The sequence below is a fragment of the Homo sapiens genome, chromosome 21, assembly GCF_000001405.40.
Source record: "Homo sapiens chromosome 21, GRCh38.p14 Primary Assembly".
Lineage (NCBI taxonomy): Eukaryota > Metazoa > Chordata > Mammalia > Primates > Hominidae > Homo > Homo sapiens.
The window spans coordinates 32,726,969-32,745,366 of record NC_000021.9 but is presented as its reverse complement, the minus strand read 5'-3'; the positions used below and the strand labels follow the sequence as shown (position 1 = coordinate 32,745,366).

The 18,398-nt window shown below is 40.2% G+C and overlaps 2 protein-coding genes and 1 long non-coding RNA gene across 30 annotated transcripts in view, besides 4 other annotated features; 2 read left to right on the top strand and 1 right to left on the bottom strand.

Moving 5' to 3' along the window:
* Window positions 1-11,468, top strand: part of PAXBP1 (PAX3 and PAX7 binding protein 1) — a 37,857-nt gene extending 26,389 nt beyond the window's left edge. For 2 of the 5 annotated variants that reach the window (NR_027873.2, NM_016631.4), the window contains exons 13-18: window positions 454-575; window positions 1,613-1,689; window positions 2,053-2,119; window positions 7,048-7,194; window positions 7,959-8,113; window positions 10,300-11,468. Coding sequence is in view for 4 of the 5 variants with exons in the window: in NM_016631.4 (NP_057715.2) it covers window positions 454-575; window positions 1,613-1,689; window positions 2,053-2,119; window positions 7,048-7,194; window positions 7,959-8,113; window positions 10,300-10,417 (686 nt within the window). In the remaining variant the exon portion in view is untranslated. Of the gene's footprint in view, window positions 1-453; window positions 576-1,612; window positions 1,690-2,052; window positions 2,120-3,744; window positions 4,029-7,047; window positions 7,195-7,958; window positions 8,114-10,299 lie in introns of those variants that run through there. The other 3 variants (XM_006724066.3, NM_013329.4, XM_047441051.1) reach the window with 3 other exon arrangements.
* Window positions 2,245-17,253, bottom strand: PAXBP1-AS1 (PAXBP1 antisense RNA 1). 2 transcript variants are annotated; one of them, NR_038879.1, is made up of 4 exons: window positions 14,706-17,253; window positions 11,710-11,778; window positions 7,026-7,095; window positions 2,245-3,105 (listed from the first exon to the last, which is right to left on the bottom strand). It is a non-coding gene; the product is annotated as a PAXBP1 antisense RNA 1 (long non-coding RNA). The 2 variants fall into 2 exon arrangements; NR_038880.1 differs by lacking the exons at window positions 2,245-3,105; window positions 7,026-7,095; window positions 11,710-11,778 and adding an exon at window positions 12,451-12,848.
* Window positions 16,973-18,398, top strand: part of SYNJ1 (synaptojanin 1) — a 99,636-nt gene continuing 98,210 nt past the window's right edge. For 15 of the 23 annotated variants that reach the window (XM_047441038.1, XM_017028497.3, XM_017028499.3 and 12 more), the window contains exon 1: window positions 17,327-17,421. In XM_047441038.1, coding sequence (XP_047296994.1) covers window positions 17,327-17,421 — 95 coding nt within the window. The other 8 variants (XM_047441039.1, XM_047441040.1, XM_047441050.1 and 5 more) reach the window with 4 other exon arrangements.
* Window positions 17,147-17,647: an enhancer, noted in NCBI's record as "H3K27ac hESC enhancer chr21:34100031-34100531 (GRCh37/hg19 assembly coordinates)". NCBI's record gives its function as "activates a minimal SCP1, AML or CMV promoter by ChIP-STARR-seq in primed H9 embryonic stem cells {active_cell/tissue: H9 hESC(primed)}" and the evidence as "EXISTENCE:reporter gene assay evidence [ECO:0000049][PMID:30033119]".
* Window positions 17,147-17,682: a biological region, named in NCBI's record as "H3K27ac hESC enhancer GRCh37_chr21:34100031-34100531".
* Window positions 17,183-17,682: a silencer, noted in NCBI's record as "silent region_13248". NCBI's record gives its function as "represses an Ori minimal core promoter by ATAC-STARR-seq in GM12878 lymphoblastoid cells {active_cell/tissue: GM12878}" and the evidence as "EXISTENCE:reporter gene assay evidence [ECO:0000049][PMID:35858748]".
* Window positions 17,648-18,148: an enhancer, noted in NCBI's record as "H3K27ac hESC enhancer chr21:34099530-34100030 (GRCh37/hg19 assembly coordinates)". NCBI's record gives its function as "activates a minimal SCP1, AML or CMV promoter by ChIP-STARR-seq in naive H9 embryonic stem cells {active_cell/tissue: H9 hESC(naive)}" and the evidence as "EXISTENCE:reporter gene assay evidence [ECO:0000049][PMID:30033119]".

Below are 18,398 nucleotides of genomic sequence, written 5' to 3'. Positions count from 1 at the left end.
GTAATTGCTTCATAGGTGAGGTTTAGAAATTCAAAGACTGACTGAAGCAAAATTATACAGAGTTTGAGGGAGGAGGATATGCATTTATGTGGGGAGCAATTAAAATGCTTTCATAAGTTCCTCAAAAAAGATTAGGAATCATTGATACAGGAATCTATTTTAAATACTAGAAATGTTAGTTTGAAATTCTTGATGCCAAGACAACATTTCTACAGAAATCCTCTTTTTTCCTAATCTTTATTTTCCCTGAGTACCAGAAATAAGAATAATCTATCCTCTCTCCACATCCCTATCCCTCCAAATTCCCACAGTTAATAGGACAAAGAAGACTAAAGCTTATATTGTAGAAAAAGAGGAAAAATAAATTAGGATTGGCATTAATAGAGGTCTGCTTGACAAAAAATTAAAGGTACAATTGGCTTCTGTGTCTCAATCCTCTTTTTTTCTTAATAGTGATAGCTGAAAATATGTGGGACCCTTTTTCTACAACACAGACTTCAAGAATGGTGGGAATTACACTAAAATTAATCAATGGATATCCTTCAGTAGTGAATGCAGAAAATAAAAATACACAGGTAATTTAGTATCTTTTGAAGCCTTTTTTTTTTTTCCTCTTTCTGTTGAATATGAGCAAGCATTGAGAGAATGAGTGGTTATCCTAAACCAATCAGAAATCTGGTTCTCCCACTTGGGCCATCAGGGCCATTAAAGCCTGAAATACACAAAATTTGAGATGTTAGGTTTTTTTTTTCTTTTTTTTATACCTAGTCCCGCAGAGAGATGTTAGTTTTCAGTTTAAAAAAATCAATATGGAAGGAAGATGTCATCATTTTAAATAGCCTTTCATTATGATTTCTCACCACCACACCTCAGTCCCAATCCAACTAATCAAATGTCCTTTTAAAGACTGTATTTTCTGGGGGGAAATGAGAAACCAAAATGTTAACAATTGATAATTTAAGCTTGTCCAACCCGTGGCCCATGGACATGTGGCCCAGGACGGCTTTGAATGCGGCCCAACACAAATTTGTAAACTGTCTTAATACATGAAATTTATGCACAGACCCCGCCCCCCTCCTTTTTTTTTTTCTTTTTTTTTTTTTTTTAGCTCATCAGCTGTCATTAGTGTCATTGTATTTTATGTGTGGCCCAAGACAGTTCTTCCAGTATGGCCCAGGGAAGCCAAAAGATTGGGCACCCAAACCATTTAAACAGCATATAAAACAACTAGATACTGTTTTATAACTAGTTGCCAAACTTAAAGTTAATGCTCTTCAGGGGCCATTCATAGAAGCTGTTTAAATGTAGAGAAGGTGGGTGCTCTTTGTCATTGTTGAATTTTCACTTTGAGAGCTAGATTATGTGTCTGGTCTTAAATCTTTATGTAGACTAAGGAATTGAAAGATTTCTAAAGCTTTATTGCTTGGCAGTTGTTGAGGAATGAACTAATAGATTATTAAGTATTAATTACTTTAGGGTCTTCAATGAGGAAAATTAAAAATTTGAGAAACTAGTTCACTCAGTTCAATATTCAGTTACATGATTTGGAATATGGCTTATTTTTCTTGTCATAGTCCTTATTAAAATGTGTGATCTACTTTTAACTTTTTAGGTATACCTAAAGGCACTTTTATTGAGAATGAGAAGAACTTTAGATGATGATGTATTTATGCCCTTATATCCCAAAAAGTAAGTAACTCTGAAGAACATTAAAGATAATATTCTCCATTGTGTTTCAGAGAAGGCTTATAAAATTCTGAAAAACTAGCTTGAAATACAAACTTCACCCATGTAGTGTATTACAGAGAGACTAGATTAGTGGCGAGATTGTTCCCTTAAGCAGAATAAAACAATACTCTTACGTTCTCCCTGAGTGTCTCAGAATAAATTTCCATTGCCTTTTTAACATACTATCTTCCAGAATGCAATTATTTGAAAAATTAAAAATTTATTTTGTTTACCTGTTTTGTAGAAAAATCTTTTGTCCAGGAATCATATGGCACCTACATATAAAATATCTGATCATGATATGTTTCTCTTTTTTTTACTTAGTGTCTTAGAAAATAAAAATTCTGGGCCTTACTTGTTTTTTCAACGACAGTTTTGGTCTTCAGTTAAGGTACGTGTCCATAGACTATCTAAAAGACTCAGATTTCGTTTGACTTCATATATTACATTTTTTAGAGTGTTTTGTTTTTTATTAACTCCATAGGCTTAGATCTATTTATATCTATACCCAAAATCTCCATTTTACAAAGTATTTTATTCCAAAAGTTCATTCAAGTTTGATATTTTCACAGGAGAAAGTGATTTCTGAGTTCCAAAGTAAGGTCCATCGTACTCAACGAAATGCCTGACTAAGCCACAATTAATTTTTTCAGCAAGTAGACTACAGTAGTCCTCCCTGTATCCATGGGGTATATGTTCTAAGATGCCCAGTGGCTACCTGAAACCACAGATAGTACCGAACCCTATATATACTGTTTTTTCCTCTACATACATACCTATGATAAAGTTTAACTTATAAATTAGGCACAGTAAGAGATTAACAATAACTAATAATAGAACAGTTATTAATAATATACTGTGGTAAAGGTTATATGAATGTAGTTTCTCTCTCAAAATATGTTATTGTACTGTGCCACAGCTGACTGAAACCACAGATAAGGAGTACTGCTGTAGCAGATACTCTTCTGAGGTTCGGGGATATAGCACTGAGTAAGCTAGAAGTGGAATCTTTGTGGAGTTCACAGTCCAGCACAGTTGACAACAAATAGGTAATCTCAGGTGTGATGAGTTATGAAAGGGGACATTCAAGGTAATGTGGAACATATGACAAGGGGCACAGAGACCTTGACTAGCTAGTCCCAGAAGATTTCCTTCCACCCTGAGGAAGTGATATTTAGATCATTCGACCTGGAGAAAAAATAGAAGTTAGCCCTGAGGTGAAAGAGAGCAGGCTACACTGGAGGCGCTGAAGAAAGCATAGGACAGCTGGAGTGAGCAAGTAAGTCCATAGTCCAGATGATAGAGGATCTTGTAGGTCATTTGAAATACTTTGGTCCTTATCCCAAAAGTTGTAGGAAGTCACAGGAAGATTTTTTCCTTAAAAAAAAAATAAAAGGTATAATTTACATACGGTAAAATTCACTCTTTTTAGTGTATAGTTCTGTAAATTCTGATGAGCAGATACAGCCATGTTATCACTACCAAAATCAAGATATGTACAACTTTTATTGTCCTGAGAAATTCCCCATTCTCTTTTGTAGTCAAGGTCACCACAAGCCCCTGGCCACCTCCCAGTCTATGTCCTATGAAGAGAAGGGAATTACATGATAGGCAAAGTCTTTTGAGTCTGGCTGCTTCCACTGAATAAATTTGAGGTTCAGCCTTGCTGTGTAGGTGCACCAGAGTTAGGTTTTGGTTTTCATTTAGTCCCTAATTAAGGGACATTTGGATTGTTTCTCTTGGGACTCAGAAAACAATACCATAAAATGAAGGCCTCAGAAACAGCCTTAGAAGAACTTTTTCTTTGACCTTCTCCTGCCCACCTTTCAGTCCTGTTCTCCCTTGAGGGTTGCCATAGAAACTAGAATCCCTGTTGCCCCAGGCGGGTCATAGACACCAGAACCCCTTTTCCGCAAAGCCAACCATAAAACCTAAATATATTACTCTTAATTTTGCCTCTGCCTTTCTGTGTAAAAACTGGCCATAAAACATCTGACCTACCTTGTTTGATTATAGGTCATAAAACCCCCATTCCAGAGAGGGTCCTGCCCCATACCCAGAAGGAAAGAATGCTGCTCAGAGAGGCCAAGAAGAATCTGGACGGACAGGCCTTGTGTTGTCTTCTCTTGAGCAGTAGATCATACCTTTTTGTCCAGTCATGTTTCTGCATGCCTGTACATATTTCGTTAAACCTAAACATAGTAGACAATTTCTCCTCCATCTTTGGGTCTTCATTCTGAAGGCTGTCATGTTACATAAAACTGTGATCAAATAAATTTATATGCCTTTTCTCCTGTTAATTTGCCTCTTGTCAGTAATTTTCAGCGAAACTTCATAGGGCAAAGGGGAAGCCTTCCCTTGGCCCCGACATTTCCAATTTGGTTATGAACAGACCTTCTATAAGGGTGTAAGAGCTTCTATAAGGGTGTTCTGAATATGTAAGTTTCATTTCATTTGGGTGAAACAGCCGGGCAAAGCTGTCTTCTGAAGTGGCTGTATAATTTTGCGTTCTTACCAGTAACCTATTACTGTCCTGGTTATTCCTTACTCCCACCATACTTGCTGTTGTCAGTGTTTTGCTTTTTAAGTCATTCTACAGGGTGCAATGTGGTATCTCATTGTGGTTTTCATTTGCATTTCCCTAATGACAGTGTTGAGGACGTTTTCATGTGCTTATTTGGAATTTGTTTATGTATTTTGGTGAAATGTCTTCAAATCTTTTGCTTAGGTTTTAAATTGGGCTTTATTCTTACTAAGCATTGAATTCTATATTCTGGAGAGAAGTCGTTTATCATATAAATGATTTGCAGATTTTTTTTTTTCAGTTTGTGGCTTATCTTTCCATTCTAATAGTCTTCCATATGCAGAAGTTCTTAATTTTGATGAAGTCCAGTTGATCTTTTTTTCCTGTTATGGATTGTGCTTTAGATGTCATATCTAAGAAATCTTTGCCTAATATGAAGCCACAAAGGTTTTCTCCTATCCTTTCTTCTAGAAGTTTCATAGTTTTAGGTTTTACATTTAGGTCTGTGACTCTTTTCAGGTTAATTTTTATTATAGGGTGTGAGGCCTGGATTAAGGTTTACTTGTTCCAGCACTATTTGTTGAAAAGGCGATAGCCTTTTCTGTGAACACCAAAAATTCCTTTGTCCTATGAACACCAAAAATTTGAGACAGGTCTCAGTTAATTTAGAAAGTTTATTTTGCCAAGATTGAGGACACACCTGTGACACAGCCTTAGGAAGTTCTGATGACATGTGCCCAAGGTGGTCGGGGCACAGCTTGGTTTTATACATTTTAGGGAGACACGAGACATCAATCAATATGTAAGAAATACATTAGTTCCATCCAGAAAGGTGGAGACAGCTCAAAGCAAGGCCCCCCCATTGGGGACTTCCAGGTCACATGTAGGTGAGAGAGGGATGGTTGCATTCTTTGGAGTTTCTGATAAGTTTTTCCAGAAGAGGCAATCAGAATATGCATCTATCTCTGTGAGCTGAGAGATGACTTTGAATAGAATGGGAGGCAGATTTGCCCTCAGCGGGGTCCCCAGCTTGAAGAGGCCCAAGATATTTCCCTTTCACAGTCCATTGAATTGCTTTTGTGCCTTTGTTGAAAACCAGTTAACTATATGTGTCATGGAAGGGTTTAAGGTAAGTAAACAAATTGCCTTTTTTTTTTTTTTTTTTTTTTTTTTTTTAAAGAGACGAGGTCTTGTGTTGCCTAGGCTGGTCTCAAACTCCTGAGCTCAAGTGGTCCTCCTTCCTTGGCCTCCCAAAGTACTGGGATTACAGGTATAAGCCACTGTGCCCAGCCATAAATTGCCTGGCTCAGCCTTCCGAGTAGCTGGGACTACAGGCGCCCACCACCACGCCCGGCTACTTTTTTGTATTTTTAGTAGAGACGGGGTTTCATCATGTTAGCCAGGATGGTCTCGATCTCCTGACCTCGTGATCTGCCCGCCTCAGCCTCCCAAAGTGCTGGGATTACAGGTGTGAGCCACCGCGCCCGGCCGTAACCACAGGTCTATAAATTACCATTTTTAAGATTACTCTGTCTGCTATGTGGAGATAATAGATTGAAGTAGGTATGGATAGTGATAGTGAAAATGGGAACTGGTATTTATTGTGTATTTTATGGGAACTAGTACTTACTGTGTGTTTACTATGTACCAAGCACTGTCCCGCACCTTTTACATAGATTATCTTGTTGAATCCTCAGAATGGCTCAATGAGGTACACGCTGTTTTTTCACTTTACTGATGGGGTAGTGAGGCACACAATAACCTGCACAAGGTCATTCCATTGGTAATTAGAGATGGGAATCAAACTCAGCCAGTCTGACTCTTGAGCTGCTCTTCTCAACTGGGCTTCTGTGGGAGACTTAATACCTAATGCCCTAAGGCCTCCATTGTCTATAATGAATTCTTCTTTTTCCCCTGCATCTGTAACAGTACTAGCTATGTATCATTCTTGGGAGAACTGAGTAAAGAGCCACACAAATCATTTTCTGTAGGTTTAGAACTCTTGCAGAGCCCTGCTTCAGAAAGGCTACTCAGTGCTCTTGCTCATAATCACTGGAGTAACTGCAGGGTTCTGAAGAGATTAAGGTGGGTCAGATTCGGAGGATGGCAGCAGGAACTGAGGGAAATGGACAGACTGGATGGTCGTGGAGACACACAACTTGAGAGAGAGGTCAGGAATGACCTCCAGACCTCTGCCGCAAGCAGCTGGTTGAATAGTGTTACCATTTACTAAGTTGAGAAACAACTGGGAAACTATAAGTTTTTATGGTGGGATGGGATGGGGCTTTCATTTTATGATGATAGCTTTCATTTTCTATATATTGATTGAGCTTGGGTAGCTTGAGATGCATAAGTGATATAACTTGGTTGTAGTTCATGATACATGGTAGCCATGCAGGGTTGTAGTCAGACTCTCCCATCTTTTGTGGGCAGCGCGGGGCGGGGTGGGGGTGTGCATAGAACCAGCTAGAGTGTAATTTTGAATGGAGGACACTTACCTAAGACTCAGCACTCCCTGATAGTACTGTCTGCAATGATGGAAAATGTTCTGTATCTGTGCTGACCAGTGCTGTAGCCACTAGCTACATGTGGCTGTTTCGATTTTGACTAATTAAAATTGAATATTCAAATGTAACCATTCTAGGAAATATCTGTACCTTTGAAAGTATTAATATTTCTTAGTACTTTGGCAAGACATGGTCTGCTGTATTTCATATGGTGTTTTACTATGTAACTTATTTACTTTGTACCTAATCTAATTGTTTCACATTACCTATTTTTTTTCTTCTTTCCAGCTGTTAGGCAATTTTCTTCAGTGGTATGGCATTTTCTCAAATAAAACTCTGCAAGAGTTATCAATAGATGGTTTATTAAATCGATATATTCTCATGGCTTTTCAGAATTCAGAATATGGAGATGACAGCATCAAAAAAGCCCAAAATGTGAGTTAAATGCATAGTACAGTTTTTAAAGCATATAATTTAAAATGAATTAAGTTTTTGTTTGTTTGAAGAGGGATTTGAGAATTTTATGAAACCCCTTTGATTACTGGACTTGCATGTAAGGTTGACAGTTTGCCTACCCAGGTAGTTCCAACCCCCTACAGCATTTTTTACATAAAAATGCATACTGTTATATATATATATATCCATCTATATCCATATTTTTATAGATATTAGTGAAAGTTTTGATATTTTTATAGGTATAAATAAAAGTTTTGATTTCAGAATAATAACCTTATTATCTTAACCTCAGTCTGGGCCAACTCGACTTCCCTTAGCAGCATGCATGGATGTCTATTCGTGGAATTATTGCAGGGGATGGGGGTGCTGTAATTTCATTTTTATACCACTCATTTTTACATCAAAAGCTGCTGGAAAAGGAAATTCAGTATATTTAGGCCATCCTAGAAGACTGGAAAATGAAGCAGTTGGTTGTCAGTTTTATGTTACTAATTTACTCAAATATTGGACAGATTATCTTTTGCTTTGAGTGCCTAACCCATTGGTTGGGGTAAAAATTTAGGTATATTGGTTTAGTTAATGTAGGAAGTCAGATTTAAAAGAATATTTCTTCAGAGTAATTGCTGTAGCTCAGAAGCACGTCTTCTGGTGAAATACATTTATACCCATTAACTAGACTTTGCTTTTAATACTTTAATTTATTCTGTCTTAACTATTTTATTTTACGTCTTTCTTCTCCACAGGTAATCAATTGTTTCCCCAAACAATGGTTCATGAATCTGAAAGGAGAAAGGACTATTTCTCAGTTAGAAAACTTTTGCCGATACCTTGTACACTTAGCGGATACAATTTATAGAAATAGTATCGGGTGTTCTGATGTGGAAAAAAGAAATGCAAGGTAATTTTGTAATTAATGAAATGGTAATCTAGAGTTGTTTAGTTGCCAGATTTAGTATTAAAATGTTTTAAGTAGAGATGTTTATATTTTAGTTTAAATTGTATGTTCACTTAGTATTATAAACCTACCAAAAATGCACATAATTTTTCATTTTAGCAGTTTTTACTTTTTTTCAGTATGTTATTTATGAAGATACTAAGGAAAGACTTCTGGTAAGGACCAACCCTCAGGGGAGTGAGTAAACGGTTGTTTTCTCTGTCTCCCTCTTTGAAGAATTAGAGAGGTCTCAGACTCTCTTGTTTGGAGTTTCATTATGCAGATTTAAATTCAAGTTTATCTCCCAATTTGGGGAGATTTTTTGTTTTAATCAATATTATGAACTAGAGGTTATCACTCATGGCTTTTTGGGGCAACTTATTTCTAATTTTTATCAAGGGTTGTAAGAAAAGAGTGAGTGAACCATTAGCCTTTCTGTGGACATTAATTTATGGGTGTTCAGGTAATTCTGGGATAAATCTCTAGCATAAAAAGTAAATAATAACACTAAGTAGGGCAGTTTGAAGGAATTGTCTTTTTAAAATTTTAATTTCATATATCTTCATAATGTCAAAGTCTAATTTTTGTTTAGATCACACCATTAGTCATACCCCTATAACAAAACCTTCTTCTGATCCCTCATTCCCCTTTCTTGAAAAAGGACCTATTTTCCTGCAAGAAAATTGGATATTTTTTCCACAATAAAATTAAAGTAGCTATTAAAGATTTTAGGCCAGGCATGGTGGCTCATGCCTGTAATCCCAGTACTTTGGGAGGCTGAGGCAGGTGGATCATGAGGTCAGGAGATGGAGACCATCCTGGCCAACATGGTGAAACCCTGTTTCTACTAAAAATACAAAAATTAGCTGGGTGTGGTGGTGCGTGCCTATAGTCCCACCTACTCGGGAGGCTGAGGCAGGGGAATTGCTTGAACCTGGGAGGCAGAGGTTGCAGTGAGCTGAGATTGCGCCACTGCATTCCAGCCTGGTGAAAGACCAACACTCCGTCTCAAAAAACAACAACAAAAAAGATTTTAATGGTAAAATTCTTTGGCAGGTTTTGGCTGATTTGATTTTGTTCTTAGTGTGTGCCATTTTGTTATTTGTTGGCACTAATATTTTTTTCTCTGTGTTTTCTACTAGATAAATTTTATCACATTTTAAACTTTGATTTACATATATTTAACAGTGTTTCTGTTTGGAAGTTAAATATCAACAAATAGTGTTTACTTTTCTACAGAAAAGAACTTTAACAGCTATGTAAGCACCTGCTTTGTGCAGTGCACATAAAGCAGGTTTCATGTGGGTTGGAAAGTTTTGCAAATTCTAATTCTTCCCTAATAGGTGCTTACTACAATTCTGTAGAAGAGATGAGACAATTACTAATGTCATATTATGTCTTGTTTCTCGTGAGTGGTTTAAGCTAAATGTTAAAACAGTCATTCTTAAAGTGTGGTCCCTGGACCAGCAGTATCAGCATGGCATGGGAGTCTGATAGACTTGCAAGTTCTCGGGGCCCCACTCTGGGCCTCTTGAATAGAACTCTTGGGGTGGGGCCAGGGATGATCTGCATTTCAACAATCCTCTAGGTAATTCTAATGTGTGCTAAAATTTGAGGATTACTTCCTAGTAAGAAAGCAGAATGACTTCTAGCTGGAGTGATAAGGAAAGTCAGATTATACTTTATTTAGTGAATTTTGGTGGAGTGGAAATTATGCTGGATCTTGACAGATTGGTGATGAAGAGACACAAATAACGATTTGTGTTCCAGGTATACGCTAAAACAGCCAGGACTCTGGTTTGGGAAGGAATGGGAGACAGGCCTCTGAAGTAGTTTGAAAACAGATTGCTTTCTTTTCTTTCTCAATATTAATGAAACTCATTGATCTCAATGAATTTTGTTTTGCTTTTTTAAAATGGGTCCCCTGTCTCTGGGCTAGTCATTTAAACATATGTAAGTTTTGTTCTATATGGATAAATGTAAACTTTTTTTTTTTTAACATGCTGTAGCTTGCATATCTGTTTCCTTTCTTTGAAAATGTGTGCTTGGAAAAATTGATTGCAGAAGCTCTAAAATAGCCATGAAATCAGTAGCAAATTTTCTCTTAGATATACTAATTAATGAGATGCTGCTATATTTTTTTCTTTTAGGGAAAACATAAAACAGATAGTAAAACTCCTTGCAAGTGTTCGAGCTTTGGATCATGCTATGTCTGTTGCAAGTGACCACAATGTGAAAGAATTTAAGTCTTTGATCGAAGGAAAATAGATCTATGAGACTGAAAAACCTATTTGCTTGATTACCATTCCCAATGTGTAAATTTTGTATATATGTAAAGTTTCTTAAACTGTAAAATAGCAATTCTTGTTTTAATACAAAAAACATTATATTCAATACTGTGTCCTTAAATGATATTTCTTCAGAATGAAAGGAATTCAGATTATTTCTAGGAGTCTATGAATGTTTTCTTTACTGCCTGTCATACTTTGTTTACTGAAGTATTTTGTATGGTCATTTAAATTAACCCTCTCAGTTAATTGTCCCCTGTAAACGATGTGTGCAGTGTAAATTGTGTAATTATGCATATATATATTTATACCACCATGGACTTACTTTCACACTGGAAATTTGTGGTGTTTTTCCACAGAGGAAGCCTTTTAACAGCAGAAAATTATCCGGTAGCAAATTGTCTTAGGGAAATTACTACACTGTTGTAACAAAAGGGCTGGCAAGTGACTAAATGTTCATTACCTTTTGGTTAGCGTTGCTATCACTGTAGCTGTGCTGCCTTAACATTGAGAGTTGAGTTGTGGACTTAGTCATTGAGTGAATGTTGAACTTTCTTCCTTGAATCAGCGTTAGAGTCAAATGTGGGTTTAATGTGAATGCTAAATGAATATGCAACATAGTTTCAAATGGAACATAGAAATTTCACTTTTGAAAATAATAAACCCACAACCTAATTGCATGGTTTTGGGCTGACCGTCCTGTCTCATTCATGATTTTACTCCCTGCCCAGCTTGCAGATACATGCATTTGAATTTTAGTAGTCTGTCATATTTAAAATCCCACATATGTGAGTTAAATATGCAATAAAGAATACGCCTTGCTGATTAGCCACACCCAGGCAATTTAATATCCATGGTCTTCTATAATGTTTATACCACATTGTAAATATTCAGAGAACTTGTTTTAAAGTTTATGCTTTCTGATTCTGTGATTTTCAAAAGAGGAATTTTTTTGGAAATTAAGGACTATCGTTTGATAATTATATATGTAATTAAGATTTAGCCAAGCATTAAATTAATTTTTAAATATATCCTTTGTTGTATTTTCCTGACGACTAAATTTGCAGCATTTCAAATGACTCTAATAAAGTGGGACTGTGAGCAGGCCCATGTGTACCCTTGATCAGGACATAATATGCAGAACAGTGTCATGCACTGTATTTGCTCTGTTAATTTTATCTTATCCCTACATATTTGTATTAGTTCATTCTCACGCTGTTATAGGGACATACTTGAGACTAGGTAATTTATAAAGAGGTTTAATTGACTCACAGTTCCGCATGGGTGGGAAGGCCTCAGGAAACTTACAATCTTGACGAAAGGCACGTCTTCACAGGGTGGCTGCAGAGAGAAATGAGTGCTGAGGGAAGGGGGAAGTCCCTTATGAAGCCATGAGATTTCATGAGAACTCAGGAGAACAGCATGGCGGAAACCACCCCCCATGATTCAGTTATCTCCACCTGGTCCCGCCCTTGATGTGGGGATTATTACAATTCAAGGTGAGATTTGGGTGGGGACACAGAACCAAACCAAATCAGTATTCATTCTGGATGAATTTTTCATTACACCTTACTGGCCTACTAAGTAGAATTAAAGTCAGAACACCTATTCCTCATCTTAAGTAGAATAAAACATAAAACATGTATCTGTATCACATACAGATCATTTAGGCCTTAAACTGCATATTATTTCCAAACCCATTAGACTAATTACTCTGCTTTTAAGAACTCTTAAAATAGAGTTTTTATCCTATGAAATCTGTCAGGCTATATTGGTTTCAGGAATGGGTTTGAACATCACACTAGGAATTTGATGTAGGGTACATAAAACAATGGTTTTTCTATCCCAAGCAGAACATTTTTATTCCTGAAATAGCTTAAGGACATTATTTCTTATGAAAGGAATTATCAAAAGATAAATCCAGAGGGTTACATTTTAATAAAGCTGGTTTTGCTTTTCAGTTTTTTCTTTTGGAGCAATCCTCTGAATTAACTCCAAAATAGGTGACAAATGTTTTTGAGAAGGAAAGCTACTTTATTGAAACAACATAAACCACAGTCAAGAGTGACTAGTACTACTGTAGCCAATGATGTCGAAGTCTCACCATGTCCCTGTTCTTGCCACTGGTGTCCTCTTGCAAGTATTTGCTCCTCTGCCTGAGGGCTTTTCTTTGGCCTGTGCAACAGGCTGGAGTGTCCTGGAGATACTTCCTGGAACAGATCTCAGCCAAGGGAGAAAAGGAATTGGAGGCTAAATGCCCCAGTGTGTCAGTTAGGGTCCTCCTGGGAGCAGACACTGAGATGGTATTAAATGTACAGGAAGTTTATTGGGGGAATGCGTATAAGAGAAAACGGAGGGGAGCCTGGAGGAGGCTGGGAAAGCTGTCAGACAATGAGGCAGGCAGGTCTCACCTGTGTGAAGGAAGGAGGATGAAAGTCTTAGACATTGGTGCAGTTCTAAAGTTTCAGCAGGGCCAACTGGCAGCTCTGACAGGTACAACCAGGGGTCTCCTTGCTAGTATGAGATCTGAGAGACAGAATTTCCTGATGACCAAACCCAATTTGCTGATCTCTCAGGAAAGCAGGTATGGTCCACATTGCCTATAAGAGGTCTTCAGTTGAGTAGAGCCATAGTTGCCTGCAGTGGTAACATTACCAGCACCCAGAATTGGCCAAAAAATTGAAAATGCTAATAATCATCCTTGAAATCATGAAACTCTTACAAAAGTAGTCAAATGTTACAGAGCTGCAATATAAAATAGGAAACTGTAAGTTGCTACATTGTAGTGGTTGTTAATGGTTACAAGAGCTCTTCTTATCTCTAACATGGTAATACCCATGTAATAAAGGGAGTCTTGCCATTCACTGATTATGACAAAACATTTGATCTGTTGTTTCAAGTAAATGAAAATGAGAAAAACACTAGCACTACATGTAGGAAGAAAAAAACATATCTGAATGGGAGGTGTACTTTCATAAACGTTTTGAAGACTGCCCTCCAGAAATGAAACTGTCCATGGATACTGGGTTCACAGCTGCTAAAAGCTGCCTCAGACTGCCCAAACACAGGCTGAATATTGTTATATGGGATTGGTATCGACATGCAATGTAGACTGGTCCCTGGCCTGCTTTGGGACTCTAGCCCCCAGTAATTTGTACTGCGTTCCTGTCAGTCCTAACTCCAGCAGCGGCTTAAAGGATACAATCATTCAGTACAATGAAAATCCCTAGCACATGACTTCTTAGGCTCTTGCTAAATATCTTTAGGAAAATGTATGAGAAAAGTTTTGACAAAACACTGCAGAAACCATTTTAAGCTACTTTGCAAAAACATTTTGATCATGAAAGCTTACCTTTTACTTGTAACCTTAGTGACATTGCTGTTGCTTTGGGACCGAGAGCCAACTTGAACAACTTGAATACAGCTCTAATCTTGAAGGTTGAGCCCTGTTTCTGGCTCCGGCACTTTGATTTCCACAAGAATCTTTGTGTTTCATTAAAATAAACCCCCTTCACTTGATCTCTCTTCAGTTGGTCTCTTGTTCCAAATGAAAATACTTCATTTTTATCTATCACAAGTTTCCTGTTTTCTCTAGTGGCAATTTCCTGTCTATGATACCTGCAAGTTATTTTTCAATCTGTTTTTTTTCCACAGTGATTCTGCTCTCAAGCTTACTAGTTTTTTATTCATAGGATTTCCATTTTTCTAATTTAAAATCTTATCCTTCACTGGTTACAATGAATTTCTTTAAAGAAAAAGCTAATGCTATTTGTAACCTACTGTTGCGTTGCCTTTCAAGACCACTGTTTTCTGTTCGAGCCATTTCTTTCTCAGTCATTGGTGGGGAACATGGCCAGGTACAACTAGGGTCTGCAGATCCTGCTATACTAGGACCAGGATCTGCAGAGCACTATACTAATAACTCTGCAGATCCTGATCCTGATATAAAAGTTAGCTTAGCCTGTGTAACCTGAAAAGAAGCTGTTAAAGGTTACTGAATCAGACTGTTAATATTTCCCTGATCTTCCATGTTGTCTAGCATTTTTGACAAAAAAACAAAAAACAAAAAACGAGCACTACTACTATATTGCCACTATGTGATTTTTTTTTAACCTATGAAAATAACAATTCCATGTTTCAACATAATGAATTGCATATTTCAACTAGAGTTGCCCATAGGAGAAATAACTTGCTCACAAATCAACATCTAGAATTTAGGGTGTTTGTCTTTAATTTGTTCTATTGGATGTGATATCTGAAACACCTACCTGGGGCTGTCTCTCTCCTGATGGAAAGTCACATCAGCCTTGTGTTAATTTCTTGTAGCTGGTGTTACAAATTACCATGAACTGGGTGGTTTAAAACAACAAAAATGTATTTTCTTGCAGTTCTGGAGGCCAGAACCAACAGGGCCATGCTCCTTCCAAAGGCTCTAGGCTCAAATCCTTCCTTGCCTCTTCCAACTTCTGATGGCTGCTGACATAGCTTGGCTATGGCCACATCGCTCCAATCTCTGCTGCTGTCTTCACATCACTTTTTTTTCTCTCTCTCTCTCTCCTGTGTGCGTGTTTAATTTTCCTCTGCCTCCCTGTTATAAGGACACTTATGATTGCATCTAGGGCTCTAGGGCCCACCTGGATAATTGAAAATAATCTCAAGACCCTTAATCAAATCTGTAAACCTAAATTAACATTCACAGACAAGGATCTCTTTTTGAAGTAGCGTTTTTTAGCCTCCCACAGGCTCTTCATTGCACAGTTTCAAGGGTTGAGTTGGTGTCAGCCTGTCTCTGTAGGCCCTTAGGATCTCACTAAGAAGTTTGTGTATGCCACTTAACCTATATTTTAAGTCACCCTATCCCAAAGACATTTCAAGGTCAGTGAAAATTTTTCCAACTATTGTCAAATGCTGTAACAAAAGTAGAAGTATAAATAGGAAAGAGGGACAAGAAAAAGAAGATAGAACCAATCAAGCCACTAGTCAAATTGCCTTTATGTTTTTCAAACTCTGGGCATGTGTCTTTTTCATGACTAAAATGAGATGTGGAAAAGCTGTGGCCTTCTAACAAATCTAGGAATAAGTCTTGCTACCCCCCAGTTTAATTTGAAGAAAGAAGCTGGAATTCCAACCCAGAACCCAGAAATTTTGACCTAAATCTCCTCAGTCCAAAATAAAAAGGAACCAGGAATATGCAGAACACTTGTTCGTAAAAGAGCTTAGTACCCATGCTTCCCACTATAAGAAAGGAAGCATTTCTAGTGTAGCCTTACAGACACACAGGCATGGTGGAAAGGATTTTGGGCTTTGGAGTAAGCAAGTTTGGTTTCAGTACCCAACTCCTCTTGAAACTGAATGATTTCAGTTGTCATAAAAGGTACCTCTCGGCCGGGCGCGATGGCTCACGCCTGTTATCCCAGCACTTTGGGAGGCCGAGGCGGGTGGATCACGAGGTCAGGAGATCGAGACCATCCTGGCTAACACGGTGAAACCCTGTCTCTACTAAAAATACAAAAATTAGCCGGGCGTGGTGGTGGGCACCTGTAATCCCAGCTACTCGGGAGGCTGAGGCAGGAGAACGGCGTGAACCCGGGAGGCGGAGCTTGCAGTGAGCCGAGATCGCGCCACTGCACTCTAGCCTGGGCGGACAGAGCGAGACTCCGTCTCAAAAAAAAAAAGGTACTTCTCAAGCAACACATTTGATATCAACAGTTTTTTCTGAGACAGTACTGACATAGAAATCCCCTCTAGTTCTTAGAACTAAATCCAAGAATCTTTGTGTTTCTCCTTCATGACTTGAAGTGGCTTCTTTTCTAATAAATTTAGTTCCGTGTCCTGAAACCAGGGTGGGTACAGCTTCTCTAAAATGGACGAAAAAATCAAGTCACATGACAGGGCCTGAAGAGGGAAATGATTTTTGCAACATAACCAAATTTAAATCCTGCTTTGGCTGTTGAAAACCAGAAGGAGAAGAGGTAAAGAAAAAGCAAACGCAAGTGGAGACAGTTTGAGTGCTGGGTTCTTCAGGTTTTCAATTTCTTTCTGCCCTGTTGGCTTTGACTTCATTCTCTTTCTTATTAGGTCTATTCAATGGAAGCAGAAATCTATGGGACACGCTGATATTAGCCAGGAAGCACCATTTGTTGAAAAATGAGGATGAGATAAAAGGGTTAGGTGCCTTTAGTTACTAAATTCCACGGTTGGCAAAAGCTATTCATCCGTCGGTGACAACCACAGCTGTCGTGGCCTCCCTACGGCCATGTTTTGTTGGACTCAGCCTTGAGATCCTGGTTTGTGACGTCCCACTCTCCATCGTATACACCTAAGCACTCTTCGATAGAACCCTGTGAGCTCCAGAACACACAAGAAAAGGCACCGAACAGAACTGTCCCAGAGCAGGCATTAGTTTTTCTTCTGCTACCTATCCAGACACTCAGACTAGGAACTCGGTGCCGTTTGCTGGGCTGTCGACACCATGGACAGCTCTTCAGGCGCCACCTGGTTGGCTCGGCGAGCCGACCGTCCCGAGCCCTTCCTCCTCTCCCGTCAGGCCCGTGGGGGCGGCGGGGTTGGTCCTGACGCCCAGCTTGGGGAGCAGCAATACGCAGCCCCCCAAGCTTTTCTCCGGAGTCCCTCCCCGGCGCTCACGCTCTGAAGAGCCCACGCAAAAGGACCAAGGAGGCCAGATCTTCCCTCTCCCTGCACCCCCGGCGGTGGGATCGCAGCTCTGCCTGGGGGCGGCCGCAGGAGGCAAAGGTAGCTGGAGACTGAGGCTGGGGCCGCCCGCGGGTGCCAGGCCCAGCCGGTCGGCGCAGAGTGGGCGTGGTCTCCCTCCTGATGCCCCGCCCCTTCCCTCGCGCGGGGCGGATCTTCCGCCCCCGGCCGCGGCGCAATGCGGAAGAGATGGGCCTGCTGGAGCGGAAGTGACGCTCCCGGCGGCTGTGGCGGCGGCTGCGGGAGAAGGAGGAGGAGGAGCCGGAGGAAGAGGTGAGCAAGCCGGCGGGGGGCGGGGAGCTGCTGCGGCCAGACCCACGGGCAGCCGGGCGGGCGGACGCCTCCAAGACCAGTCTCTGCCTCCGCAGCGTCAGCGGGAGCGGTGAGGGGCGACCGCGAGCAGCCGGGGTGCGGGAGGACGGGCGGGGTTGTGAGCAGACCACTGGTTGTGCGGGGTGCCGCGTCAGGCTGGGGGCTGTGGTGACAGCGGCTGTCAGCCCGCCCGCGGGAACGAACCGAATCCGCCTGGGCGCCGGGGTATCTCTTCTGGCGCATAAATGGAGGGTTTGGGCTGCTCGGCTCTTCCGTCTCTCCGAGAAGGAGCCGCTTTCCCGGGCAGTCGACTGCCCGGGACCCCCGAGGAGCCCCAGTCGGGTCGGTGCCCCGAGTCGTGACTCTTCCCGGGTGGCCATTCGTATTTATCGGCCCCGCCTGCCGTCCCCCCAGCCGGCGGTAGCCCGGGGCAGGAGAGGCGGCGGTAACCTGTGCCTTTTCCCTTGCCCTTCATCGCCACCCCCGGGAGAGCCTGTCGCGTGGGATAATCCTTTTCCTTCTCCTGCCCCCTAAGGAGCTTTGAACCAGCCTTGTCACCCTTCCCTCCCACCTCCGCTCCTTTCACCTCGAAGGAACTGCTTGAAGTTTCCAAATAGGTTCCCTTTCAACGTAGTGACAGATCTTGAAGCAGGAAGCTGATAAACAGCTCCGGACGAAATACGCTCAAAATTTTTCCTTTCAGTAAGCATAAATTAAACGGGAAACTCAACCAGACCGTTGATTGACTTACAGTGCTAAAACCTTGTCTTGCCTTGGTATGAGAATTGATAGCTTTTCCTCTTGCTTTTTGGTAAAATTAAGTGACGACTTATCTTTTGGAAAAAGCCATTTTCTCCCAGAGCTGTCTGTTTTTTCCCACCCCAACCCCCCATCAAAACCTGGCGGGGAGGGACTTTTGGATGCTTTGCAGTCCTTGC